Source organism: Homo sapiens, chromosome 12 (genome assembly GCF_000001405.40).
Source record: "Homo sapiens chromosome 12, GRCh38.p14 Primary Assembly".
NCBI classification, from domain to species: Eukaryota; Metazoa; Chordata; class Mammalia; order Primates; family Hominidae; genus Homo; species Homo sapiens.
In genome coordinates, this window is record NC_000012.12 from 6,251,668 (window position 1) to 6,264,627 (window position 12,960).

The 12,960-nt window shown below is 46.7% G+C and overlaps 1 long non-coding RNA gene across 4 annotated transcripts in view, besides 1 other annotated feature; it reads right to left on the reverse strand.

The window, feature by feature from the left end:
• Positions 1-12,960, reverse strand: part of LOC105369625 (uncharacterized) — a 71,439-nt gene that overhangs the window by 27,699 nt on the left and 30,780 nt on the right. The gene's annotated exons all lie outside the window — the stretch shown is intronic.
• Positions 12,165-12,851: a transcriptional cis regulatory region, noted in NCBI's record as "candidate enhancer chr12.283 targeted for multiplex CRISPR interference". NCBI's record gives its function as "positively regulates CD9 gene expression with high confidence in K562 cells {active_cell/tissue: K562}" and the evidence as "EXISTENCE:mutant phenotype evidence [ECO:0000015][PMID:30612741]".

The window sequence follows — 12,960 nt, forward strand, 5'->3', positions numbered from 1 at the left end:
CGGCTCTTTCTCCTCTAACAGATCAATGGAGGAATCTAGAGGAAGGAAGAAATGATCTTGGATCCCTGAATGGCCTTATGAAAGGCACCTCAGCAAGACTGCTTGTGCACTGGCGGGGATGCAGGGAGGGGTATCTTTTTTTTTTTTTTTTTTTTTTGAGATGGAGTCTCGTGCTGTCACCCAGTCTGGAATGCAGTGGCATGATCTCGGCTCACTGCAACCTCCACCTCCTGGGTTCAAGCCATTCTCCTGCCTCAGCCTCCTGAGTAGCTGGGACTACAGGCACCTGCCACCACGCCTGGCTAATTTTTTGTATTTTTAGTAGAGATAGGGTTTCACCATGTTAGCCAGGATGGTCTCGATCTCCTGACCTCGTGATCCGCCCGCCTCAGCCTCCCAAAGTGCTGGGATTACAGGCATGAGCCACCGCGCCCGGTCAGGATATCTTGTACTAAACACTAGGAATCCTGGGCTTGTCTGCTCCGGCAGCCGGCATTGCACCCCTCGTTGCAACCCATTGCTACTTTGCTTGGCCTTCTATGGCCATCTGATGCTGCACGTTACATGAGGATGTTTTGGGTGACAAGCATCAGAAGCCCAAAGTCAAACTTTTTTTTGAGACACAGTCTTGCTCTGTCACTCAGGCTGGAGTGCAGTGGCGAAATCACAGCTCACTGCAGCCTCCTCCTCCCAGGCTCAAGCGATCCTCCCACTTCACCCTCCTGAGTAGCTGGGACTACAGGCGTGTCCCACCAAGCCCGGGTACTTTTCTTGTGTATGGGTATTTTTTTGTAGAGACAGTTTCACCGTGTTGCCCAGGCTCGTCTTGAACTCTTGGGCTCAAGTGATCCACCCACCTGGGCCTTCCAAAGTGCTGGGATTACTGGCATGAGCCACCGCACCCAACCCAAACATTTTTGAGCAATAAGGAACTTCTGTCACATACAGGAAGGTCCGAGGAGGGGGAGTTCCATGGTTGACCATCCTTAGCACATCGGTTTTTGACTTTGTGTTTATCCTTTCAAAGACACAAGGTGGCTACCACAACTCAAGCCTTCATGTCATCATGATATCTATGTCTAAAAGCTTCAGTGTGTCTCTTTTTTAAGAACATGAGCCGGGCGCGGTGGCTCATTCCTGTAATCCCAGCATTTTGGGAGGCTGAGGCGGGAGAATGGCTTGAACCTGGGAGGCAAAGGTTGCAGTGAGCTGAGATCACGCCATTGCACTCCAGCCTGGGCGACAGAGTGAGACTCCCTCTCAAAAAAAAGAAAAGAATATGAAAGAAAAGAATTCCCACAGAAGACATCTTACATCCTGTTGGCCAGATATGATCACATGCCCATTCTTAAACCAGGCAAGTAGGGTGGGAGGAATTACCACGGCAGGTCAGGCAAAGCAGTACTCATTCCCCAACACCCAGGGTTGGGAGGGTCCTGCCTCACCTGGAGCACGTGGCCTCCAGACACCCGGAGTCAAGTGGGACACAGCAATTTAGTGGCCCTAACACTGTGAGCCAGACTCATCTATCCCCCACATTGTACTTTCATCATCTCAACCTGTGAAAGGTATAAACTGCTGGGCAGGAGATCTGTATTTTGAAGATTTTATAGGGAGAGGGTTGGAGAGAGAGTGATATTTTACCAGACACTAAAACCTTCAAGAAATGATGGGGAGTGACCCAGGAGTCAGTAAATAATTGCAACAAGGTGATTCTTACTTCGTGCTCCAAGACGTCTGTTCTTTCCTGCTTTGTGACGCAGGCCTCCGTGCTGGCATTTGTGAAATGCAGATAACCTGTCTAATCTCTAAGGTCTCCAGTACTCTGGTTGTAATCTCCTGAGGCCAGGAGCTGGGTCTTCAGGTCTTCACTTTCTCTCTATGTCCCCAACACAGCTCTGGGGGCAGGGTTGACATGCAGTGTGGACAGTAGCCATTCAAGAATTTTAACATTTTCAGGCCGGGTACAGTGGCTCATGCCCATGATCCCAACACTTTGGGAGGCCGAGGCAGGCAGATCATGCGGTCAAGAATTCGAGACCAGTCTGGCCAACGTGGTGAAACCCCGTCTCTACTAAGAAAATACAAAAATTAGCTGGGCATAATCCCAGCTAATTCGGGAGGCTGAGGCAGGAGAATTGCTTGAACCCAGAAGGTGGAGGTTGCAGTGGGCCGAGATCGTGTCACTACACTCCAGCCTGGGCAACAGAGCAAGACTCCATCTTGGGGGAAAAAAAAAAGAATTTTAACATTTTCAACTCTGTGAGAGACCCCATTCTTCATGAAATGGAGTGATTCGTAGCTGTTATCGAAGCGTGAAATCTGAATTTCATGCTGTGAGAATCTGCAAGAGTGACTCAGATAACTGGTGAGGGAGGCTGTGGGGTACATTGCAAAGGCCTTGTAGGGAGGGAGACAGACTTGAGATCAAATCCTGGCTCTGACACTTACTGAGTGATCTTGGACAAATCACTTAACCTCTAAACTCCTGGCTCTCCTCTATAAAATGAAGGGCAGGCTGGGCACAGTGGCTCACGCCTGTAATCCCAGCACTGGGAAGCCGAGGCGGGTGGATCACTTGAGGTCAGGAGTTCGAGACCAGCCTGACCCCATGGTGAAACCCCAACTCTACTAAAAATACAAAATTAGCCAGGCATGGTGGCAGCCACCTGTAATCACAGCTTCTTGGGAGGCTGAGGCAGGAGAATCACTTGAACCTGGGAGGCGGAGGTTGCAGTGAGCCAAGATTGTGCCATTGCACTCCAGCCTGGGCGACAAGAGCGAAACTCCATCTCAAAAAATAAATAAATAAATAAAATAAAATGAGGGGCAATTCCTACCAAACAGAGCATATGGAGAGACCCGGTAAATGATGGCCAGCCTTGTCATTATGCTGCTATGATCACGAGGTGCCCTTGGAGACAGCAGGAGGTATGAATGAGGAAACTCGGCACTGGGGCTGGACCCAGAGTGTTGGAGGCGGGTTGCTCAGGCTACTAAGGCAGTTTGGGGTGCACTAGTGAGGAAAGAGCTGGCAGCAGGCCAAAGTCCAGGAATGGGCAGGAAAGGGTACAATTAGAGATCTTGGAGAAAGGACTAAGCACCGGCCGTTGCAACCATCTACAGACTCACTGGGACATGTCTTGAAGATTTTCAAGCCCGGTAAAATTTCTGTATTTGAGCACTACCCCTAGAAAGTCTTGGTAATTTCAGGATTTACGATAAAATCTTTCCAATGACCTGGCCTCTCAGTTTTTTGACCTCCTCACTCACTCCTGTGGCCAAAGGCTTTCAAACTTGTTTGTCCATGACCCAACCATATGTGTGACTCAGTACACACAGGCACCATATAGAAATACACACATCTGGCTGGGCACGGTGGTTCATGCCTATAATCCCAGCACTTTAGGAGGCTGAGGTGGGTGGATCATGAGGTCAGGAGATCGAGACCATCCTGGCTAACACAGTGAAACCCTGTCTCTACTAAAAATACAAAAATATTAGCCGGGCGTGGTGGCGGGTGCCTGTAGTCGCAGCTACTCGGGAGGCTGAGGCAAGAGAATCGCTTGAACCTGGGAAGCGGAGGCTGCAGTAAGCTGAGATCGTGCCACTGCACTCCAGCCTGAACGACAGAGCAAGACTCCATTTCCAAAAAACAAAACAAACAAACAAAAACAAAAACAAAAAATCCACATCTACATATATAAAATTGAAATGAAAGTTTTATGATATGATACATATCCTTGCTGCATGCAATGTGCTCTGCTATTTTCTATTCTATTCTATTCTATTTCATTTTTATAGATGCTGGTTTTAACCCACTAACTTAATTTTATGATCCACTAATGGGCTGTGTCTCTCAATTTGAAAAACACTGTCCCAGACTTTTTTTTTTACTACTTCACTCCAGTTTTAGAGATTGAGATGTTGATGGGAGCCAGGTGCACTGGTGTACACTACAAAGGTGCACCTGTAGTCCCAGACCCTCAGGAGGCTGAGGCAGGAGGGCCACTTGAACCCAGGGGTTTGAGACCCCATCTCTACATTTAAACTTTTTAAATTTTTTAAATGTTGAGGAGAAACCAGCAATGAAGACTGAGATGAAGTAGCCAATAAAGTAGAAAAAAGAGACCCTTCATTAGCTCAATCCAAGCATCACAGTCTCCAATCCCTTTCTGTCATTCGAACTCACTCCAGTCCTACCCTACCCAAAACCTCTCATCCACTGACCTTACCACCTTCTCCTTGTCTCTCACATCCTCCTGATGTCACTTCCCCTTTATCTGATTTAGATTACATAGGGCATAATAATCTATTACTTGGGCTGGGTGCGGTGGCTCACGCCTATAATCCTAGCACTTTGGGAGGCCAAGGCTGGTGGATCACCTGAGATCAGGAGTTCTAGACCAGCCTGGCCAACATGGTGAAACTCTGTCTCTACTAAAACTACAAAAATTAGCTGGGCTTGGTGGCAGGCGTCTGTAATCCCAGCTATTCAGGAGGCTGAGGCAGGAGAATCGCTTGAACCCGGGAGGCCGAGGTTGCAGTGAGCCAAGATCGTGCCACTGCACTCCAGCCTGGGGGACAAGAGCAAGACTTCATCTCAAATAATAATAATAATAATAATAATAATAATAATAATAATAACAATCCATTACTTGATTTGTTTAATAAATAGTTACTGGCCAGGTGCGGTGGCTCACGCCTATAATCCCAGCACTTTGGGAGACCAAGGTGGACGGATCGCATGAGGTCAGGAGTTCAAGACCAGCCTGGCCAACATGGCGAAACCCCGTCTCTACTAAAAGTACAAAAAAATTAGCTGGGTGTGGTGGTGGGCGCCTGTAATCTCAGCTACTAGGGAGGCTGGGGTAGGAGAATCGCTTGAACCCGGGAGGTGGAGGTTGCAGTGAGCGGTGATCGCGCCATTGCATTCCAGCCTGGGTGATAGAGTGAAACTCTGTCTCAAAAAACAAACAAAAAAAATAGTTACTGAGGGCTCACTCTGTGCCAAGCACTGTTCTAAGGTACTGAAGATACAGGAGTGAACAAAACAAAAGACTGGCCTGTGAACATGTTTTTATTGGGGGGAAACAGACAATAAGAAAATAAACAAGGGCCAGGCGCAGTGGCTCACGCTTGTAATCCCAGCACTTTGGGAGGCCAAGGCGGTCAGATCACCTGAGGTCGGGAGTTTGAGACCAGCCTGACCAACATGGAGAAACTCCGTCTCTACTAAAAACACAAAAGTAGCCGGGTGTGGTGGTGCATGCCTGTAATCTCAGCTACTCGGGAGGCTGAGGCAGAAGAATTGCTTAAACCCAGGAGCTGGAGGTTGCGGTGAGCCGAGATCGCGCCATTGTACTCCAGCCTGGGCAACAAGAGCAAAACTCCGTCTCAAAAAAAAAAAAAAATGAAGAAGGAAAAAAGGAAAATAAACAAGAACATTTAAACTATTTCAGCGTACAGGCATACCTCAGAGAACATTGCAGGTTCGGTTCCAGATCACTGCATTAAAATAAATATTGCAATAAAGTGAGTCACACAAAGTTTTGGTTTCCCAGTGCATATAAAAATTATGTTTATACTACACAGTAGTCTATTAAATGTGCAATGGCATTATGTCTAAAAAATATGTACATATCTTAATTTAAAAATACTTTATTGCTAAAAAAAATTATGCTAACAATCATCTGATCCTTCAGCAAGTCATATCTTTCTGCCTTAATGGATGGCTGCTGACTGACCGGAATGATGGTTGCTGAAGTTTGGGGTGGCTATGGCAATTTCTTCAAATAAGGCAACATGAAGTTTTCTGCATTGATTGACTCTTCCTTTCATAAAATATTTCTTTGTAGCCTGCAATGGTATTTGGTAGCATTTTACCCATAATAGAACTTCTTTCAAAATTGGAGTCAGTCCTTTCAAACCCTGCCACTGTTTTATCAACTAAGTTTGTGTCATATGCTAAATTCTTTGTTGTCATTTTCACAGAAGTAGATTCCGTCTCAAGAAACCACTTTCTTTGCTCATCCATAGGAAGCAACTCCTCATCTATTAGTTTAGTGCAAAAGTAATTGTGGTTTTGCCATTACTTTGAATGGTTTACTAAATATTAATATTAAAGTTTTCTCATGAGATTGCAGCAATTCAGTCACATATTCAGGCTTCACTTCTAATTCTAGTTCTCTTGCTATTTCCAATACATCTACAGTTTCTTCCTCCACTGAAGTCTCGAACCCCTCAAAGACATCTATGAGGGTTGGAGTCAACTTCTTCCAAACTTCTGTTAATGTTGCTATTTTGACCTCCCCCCATGAATCACGAATGTTCTTAATGGCATCTAGGATGGTGAATCCTTTCCAGAAGGTTTTCAGTTTACTTTGCCCAGATTCATCACAGAAATCACTATCTATGGCAGCTATAGCTTTGTAAGATGTATTTCTTAAATAATAAGACTTCAAAGTCAAAATTACTCCTTGATCCATGGGCTGCAGAATCAATGTGTTAGCAGGCATGAAAACAGCATTAATCTCCTTGTATGTCTTCATCACATCTCTTGGGTGACAAAGTGCCTGTCCATGAGCAATAATATTTTGAAATAAATATTTTTTTCTAAGCAGTAGGTCTCAACAGAAGGCTTAAAATGTTCAGTAAACCATAGTATAATGGTTAACAGACATGCTGTTATCCAGGATTCATTGTTCCATTTATAGAGCACAGCAGAGTAGATTTAGCACAATTCTTAAGGGCCCTGTAATTTTAGGAATTGTCAATGAGCATTGGTTTCAACTTAAAGTCACCAGCTGCCTTAGCCCTTAGCAAGAGAGTCATCCTTTCCTTTGAAGTTTTGAAGCCAGGTGTTGACTTCTCCTCTCTAGCCAAGAAAGTCCTAGATGGCATCTTCTCCCAGTAGATACCTGTTTTGTTTACATTTAAAACCTGTTGTTTAGTGTTGCCACCTCATCAGTTATCTTAGCAAGATCTTCTGGATAACTTGCAGCTTCTACATCAGTACTTGTTACTTTATGTTGTATTTTTAGGTTACAGAGATGGCTTATTTCCTTAAACTTCATGAACCAAACTCTGCTAGCTTCTAACTTTTCTGCAGCTTCCTTACCTTACTCAGCCTCACTGAATTTAATCAAAGAGAGTTGGAGCCTTGTATGGATTAGGCTTTGGTTTAAGGAAATGTAGCTGATTTGATCTTCTATCCAGACCACTCAAACTTTCTCCTTATCAGCAATAGGTTGTGTTGCTTTCTTATCATCTGTGTATTTACTGGAGTAGCACATTTAATTTCCCTCAAGAACTTTTATTTTTAATACACTAATTGGCTGTTTGGCACAACAGGCCTAGCTTTCAGCCTTCTTCGCTAAGCTTAATCGTTTCTGGCTTTTGATTTAAAGTGTGAAACGTGTGACTCTTCCTTTCACTTGAACACTGAGAGGCCACTGTAGGGTTATTAATGGGCTTCATTTCAATATTGTTGTGTTTTAGGGGCTAGGGAGGCCAGAGGAGAGGAAGAGAGATAGGGAAATGGAGGGTCAGGTCAGTGGAGCAGTCAGAACGCACACAACATTTATTGATTAAGTTCACCATCTTATCTGGGCACCATTCGTGGTGCCCTAAAACAATCAGAATAGTAACATCAAAGATCACTAATCATGGGTCACCATAACAGATATATTAATAATGAAAAAGTTTGAAATATGGCAAGAATTACCAAAATGTGACAGAGACATGAAGTGAGCACAGGCTATTGGAAAAATTGTGCCAATAGACTTGTTGGACACGAGATTGCCACAAACCTTCAATTAAAAAAAAATGCTGGGCGCAGTGGCTCACGCCTGCAATCCCAGCACTTTGGGAGGCCGAGGCAGGTGGATCATGAGGTCAGGAGATCGAGACCATCCTGGCTAACACAGTGAAATCCCGTCTCTACTAAAAATACAAAAAAATTAGCCAGGCGCGGTGGCGGGTGCCTGTAGTCCCAGCTACTCGGGAGGCTGAGGCAGGAGAATGGTGTGAACCTGGAAGGCGGAGCTTGCAGTGAACCGAGATTGCTCCACTGCACTCCAGTCTGGGTGACAGAGCGAGACTCCTTCTCAAAAAAAATTTTAAAAAAAGTAATATCTGCAAAGTGCAATAAAGCAAAGCACAATAAAATGAGGTGTGCTCATAACAGCCAATGCAAAGGCCTGAGGCACGAGGGTGCCTGCAGGTCCCAGGCACAGCACAGAAACCAAATAGGCTGAAACAGAGTGAGCAGGAGGAAGAGTAGGCCAGACACGGTGCTCACGCCTGTAATCCCAGCACTTTGGGAGGCTGAGGCAGGAGGATGACTTGAGGCCAGGAATTCAAGACCAGCCTGGGCAACATAGTGAGACCCCGTCTCTATAAAAAATTTAAAATTACTTGGCTGTGGTGGCTCTCACCTGTAGTCCCAGGTACTCGGGACACTGAGGTGGGAAGACTGCTTGAGCCCAGGAAGACGAGGCTACAGTGAGCCATGATCATGCCATTGCACTCTAGCCTGGGTGACAGAGTGAGACTCTATCACAAAAAAAAAAAAAGAAAAAAAAAATACACACACACACACACACACACAGAGACATATATATATATGTATATATATGTATGTATGTGTGTGTGTGTGCATATATATATACACATATAAAAGAGAGAGAATAATCGAGAGGAGATCAGAAGGGAAGTGACAGGCAAGATCATCTCATAAGTCATTCCAAGAACTTTGGGTTTTGCTCTGAAGGAGATGGGCAGTCATTCATTGCAGGGTTTGAACAGAAGGAGTGTCTTGATCTTGTTTATGTCTTAAAAGGCTCTCTGTCTGGAGAGTACATTGTAAGGTCACAGAGGAGGACATCAGTTAAGATACTGTTGGATTAATCAAGATGAGAGATGATATGATAGTGGCTTGGACCAAGCTAGCAGGGGAGGAGGAATAGGAAGTGGTATGATTCTGGGTGAAACTTTTTTTTTTTTTTTTGAGATGGAGTCTTGCTCTGTTGCCCAGGCTGGAGTGCAGTCGCACTATCTCGGCTCACTGCAAGCTCCGCCTCCCGGGTTCACGCCATTCTCCTGCCTCAGCCTCCCGAGTAGCTGGGACTACAGGCGCCTGCCACCACGCCAGGCTAATTTTTTTGTATTTTTAGTAGAGACGGGGTTTCACAGTGTAGCCAGGATGGTCTCGATCTCCTGACCTCATGATCTGCCCGCCTTGGCCTCCCAAAGTGCTGGGATTACAGGTGTGAGCCACTGTGCCTGGCTGGATGAAATTTTTAAGACAAAGCTAGTGGGACTTACTGATGGGACAGACTTAAGGATTATTTCAAGGTTTGGGGCCTGAGCAGCAGAAAGCATGGAGTTGCCTTTTATGGATATGGGGAGACTTCAGGAGGAGGTTTGGGGGTGAGGGACTCAGGAGTTGAATTTTAGCCATATCAAGTTAGCTATCCAAGTAGAGAAATATGGAATCAGAAGTTCAATATATGACGTTCAGGCAGAGGCTTCGGTGAAGGAGCTATAAAATGGAAGATATTAGCATATGCTTGATAGTAAAGCCATGAGACTGGATGAAAGACCTAAAGAACAAGTGAAACAGGAGAAAGAGGTCCAAGGATGGAGCTGAGAGGTCAAAGGAGACCAATAGAGAGTAGTCACTGGGGTGAGCAGAGAATTAGGAGTGAAAGCTCCAGAGATGCAAGAAAGGGTTTCCCAAATGCAAGAGTGAGGACCCAGGTCAAATGCTGTGGATGGGGTCAAGTCCAATGAGGATGGAGATTAATCTGAATCTTTTTTTTTCTTCTTTTTTTTTTTGAGACAGACTTTCACTCTTGTCGCCCAGGCTGGAGTGCAGTGGTGCGATCTCAGCTCACTGCAACATCCGCCTCCCTGGTTCAAGCGATTCTCCTGCCTCAGCCTCCTGAGTAGCTGGGATTACAGGCACACACCACCACACCTGGCTAATTTTTGTATTTTTAGTAGAGATGAGGTTTCACCATGTTGGCCAGGCTAGTCTCAAAGTCCTGACCTCAAGTGATCTGCCGGCCTCAGCCTCCCAAAGTGCTGGGATTACAGGCACAAGCCAGAGATGCTTACTCTTTTTTTTTTTTTTTTTTTTTTGAGACAGAGTCTTGCTCTTGTCACCCAGGCTGGAGTGCAGTGGCACGACCTCGGCTCACTGCAACCTCCGTCTCCTGGGTTCAAGCGATTCTCCTGCTTCAGCCTCCTAAGTAGCTGGGATTACAGGCACCCAAAATTATTATTAGCAATCAGGAAATGCAAATCAGGTCCACAAGGAGTTAATAATCATTGTCTTGGTTCAGGCCACTATGACAAAGCACCATCCCAGGTTTTGAGCAGAGGGATAAATGATCTTTTTTTTTTTTTAATAGGAGGGGCTGAGAATCCAAGAACCCAAAGCATCCCGAGTGGAGGGCCACACTGTGGACTCCAGGATGGGTGTCAGAGTGCACCTGAGCTCAGAGACTGAGACACACCAGCGTCAAGTACAATTTCCAGACCAGACCCTCCTGCCCCTGGCCAGGGCATCCACTCCCTGTGGACAAGTCACAGAGCAGGATGAATCGCAGGGCTATTTGGGATCAGAGCCTGGAGTCTGCTGCTGAGGTGACTGAGATCTGTCCCCACAACACAGGCACCTGCCTCAGGCCAGACAGGTGGAGAGGGCCTCACCTGGCCAGTCCTGGGAAGGGCAATGCTGCAGTTGGCCTCAGACACTGCCCCATTCCCACTCCTGTGGGAGAAGGAACCAGACTCCACCCTCAAAAGGGCACCTAGGGAGGAGGAGGCCTGCTTCTTGGTGTAAAGAACTCTCATAGAACACCTTCCCACCCCCAGGACACCCAGCGGGAGCCTGGAGCCAAGATAAGGACTCTGGACGAGAGAAGGTAGAACTTCACTGCAAAGGAAAATGGGAGGAATTTGACTGCATTTCTGAGAGGAAGAGGGTAACAATAAGAGAGGGCAGAGAAAGGAAGAAGAAAGGGGTGGAGCACCAAGTAACAGGGCACCAGAGCTGTGCAAATGTTCAAGAGAGGCTGGTTTTACAGGAGCACATTGTCTACTATCTCATTTGCAGCTGTCATTGCTGCTCTGTAATTTCCCTTCATCTCTCCAGACCATCAGCAAAGCTTGCCACAAACACAGGTGCAACGTGATGGGGCAAGGAGTGGGTGGAGTTTGAAATAAAGGAAGAAGGTTGCTGGGTGGACAAATGGGCTAAGATCGCTCTCTGGGCAGAGGCAGGAACTCAGGGGCCAGAATGACCAAGAAAACACATTTCAGCATATCCCAGACAACTTAAGCACCTTAGGAAGACATTAGACTTGCCAAGTGGGGGATGAAGATTTGAGCCACTCTTGTTCAGATCTTGAGGGGTGGGGAGACCCCAGCTGCCCATCATCCCCTTTCCATGCACAGTCATACTTCCACCTGGTTCTGGTGGGTGAACTCACACGCCTCTTCTCTGGTCACCCAGGTGACACGCAGGCAGCACTCTCATGCCCTGCCTTCTGATGGCATGGCACCGCAACTCCGTGCCCTGAGATACCTCTCCACTCCTTGGAGCCTCAGTTTCCTCATCGGAAACGGGAATCTGGCACCTACTCCCAGGTCTTAGGGATTAAACAGGAAGCCCCCATGATGATTACTTTTATGTGTCAACTTGCCTGGGCCACAGTGACCAGATATTTAGTCCGACATTCTGGATGTTTCCCTGAAGGTGATTTTGGATGATAAGATTTAAGGCTGGGCGCAGTAGCTCACGCCTGTATTCCCAGCACTTTGGGAGGCTGAGGCAGGCAGATCACTTGAGGTCAGGAGTTTGAGACCAGCCTGGCCAACATGGTGAAACCCTGTCTCCACTGAAAAAAAAAAAATACAAAAATTAGCCGGGTGCAGTGGCGGGCGCCTGTAGTCCCAGCTACTCGCAATGCTGAGGCAGGAGAATCGCTTGAACCCAGGAGGCAGTGGTTGCAGTGAGCCTGGATCGTGCCATTGCACTCCAGCCTGGGTGACAGAGCAAGACAAGCAAAAAAAAAAAAAAAAAAAAAAAAAGATTTCAGTGATGGACTTTGAGTAAAGCAGATTGTCCTCTATGATGTGGATGGGCCTCATCCAACTCGTCAAAGGCGTGAAGAGAACGAGAGACTGACCCCCCCACAGCAGGAGAGAATTCTGTGGTGAACTGCAAGAGGGGGTCTTCCCTGGGTCTCCCACCTGACAGCCTACCCTGCAGACTGGGACCTCACCAAGACTCCATAACCCACGAGCCAATTCCTTAAAGTAAATCTCTGAATATATACATATATATGTCTACACACATGCACACGCGTATCTTATTGGCTGTTCCCTGGAGAACCCTGACTAACACAGCCCCTCACTGTGGCCAGCATGGGCCGGTGGTTAGTCAAGGTCACTGTCTCCAGGGCTGTTGTGAAGCTGAATGGAGATCAGTTTTGCACAGAAACATGTGAGGTCTTATCAGCACTCCCAGCCTCCCTGCTAGCAGGAGGGAAGCACTGTAATCTGATTCCCAAGCAGCTTTAGAAAGGTACCTCTGTGGTACAGGCCACTCCATCTTCATAAGCAGCTTCTCTGATTGCTGTTCTGCTGACCAGGGGCAGGCTTTCTTGTGGGTGCAGGATTGCTGGCTGAAACATCACCCTCTGCTTCCTCCAGGAGAGAAATTCCCAGCTATATCCAAATGTTCCAGAGTATAAAACCTGAGACGCTTCCATCAAGCTAAAGTGGCTTAAACAGGGAAGTGGCCTTAGAAATGCCCTGGCCAAGGCTCCTGTTTTGCAGATGGGAACAGAAGTGCACAAGGCGGAGGCCATTTGCATAAGGACATTGGCAGCAGCAGCAGAAGCAGGGCCCACTGGCGTCGTGCCAGCCCTTTCAGGTAACTTAGGT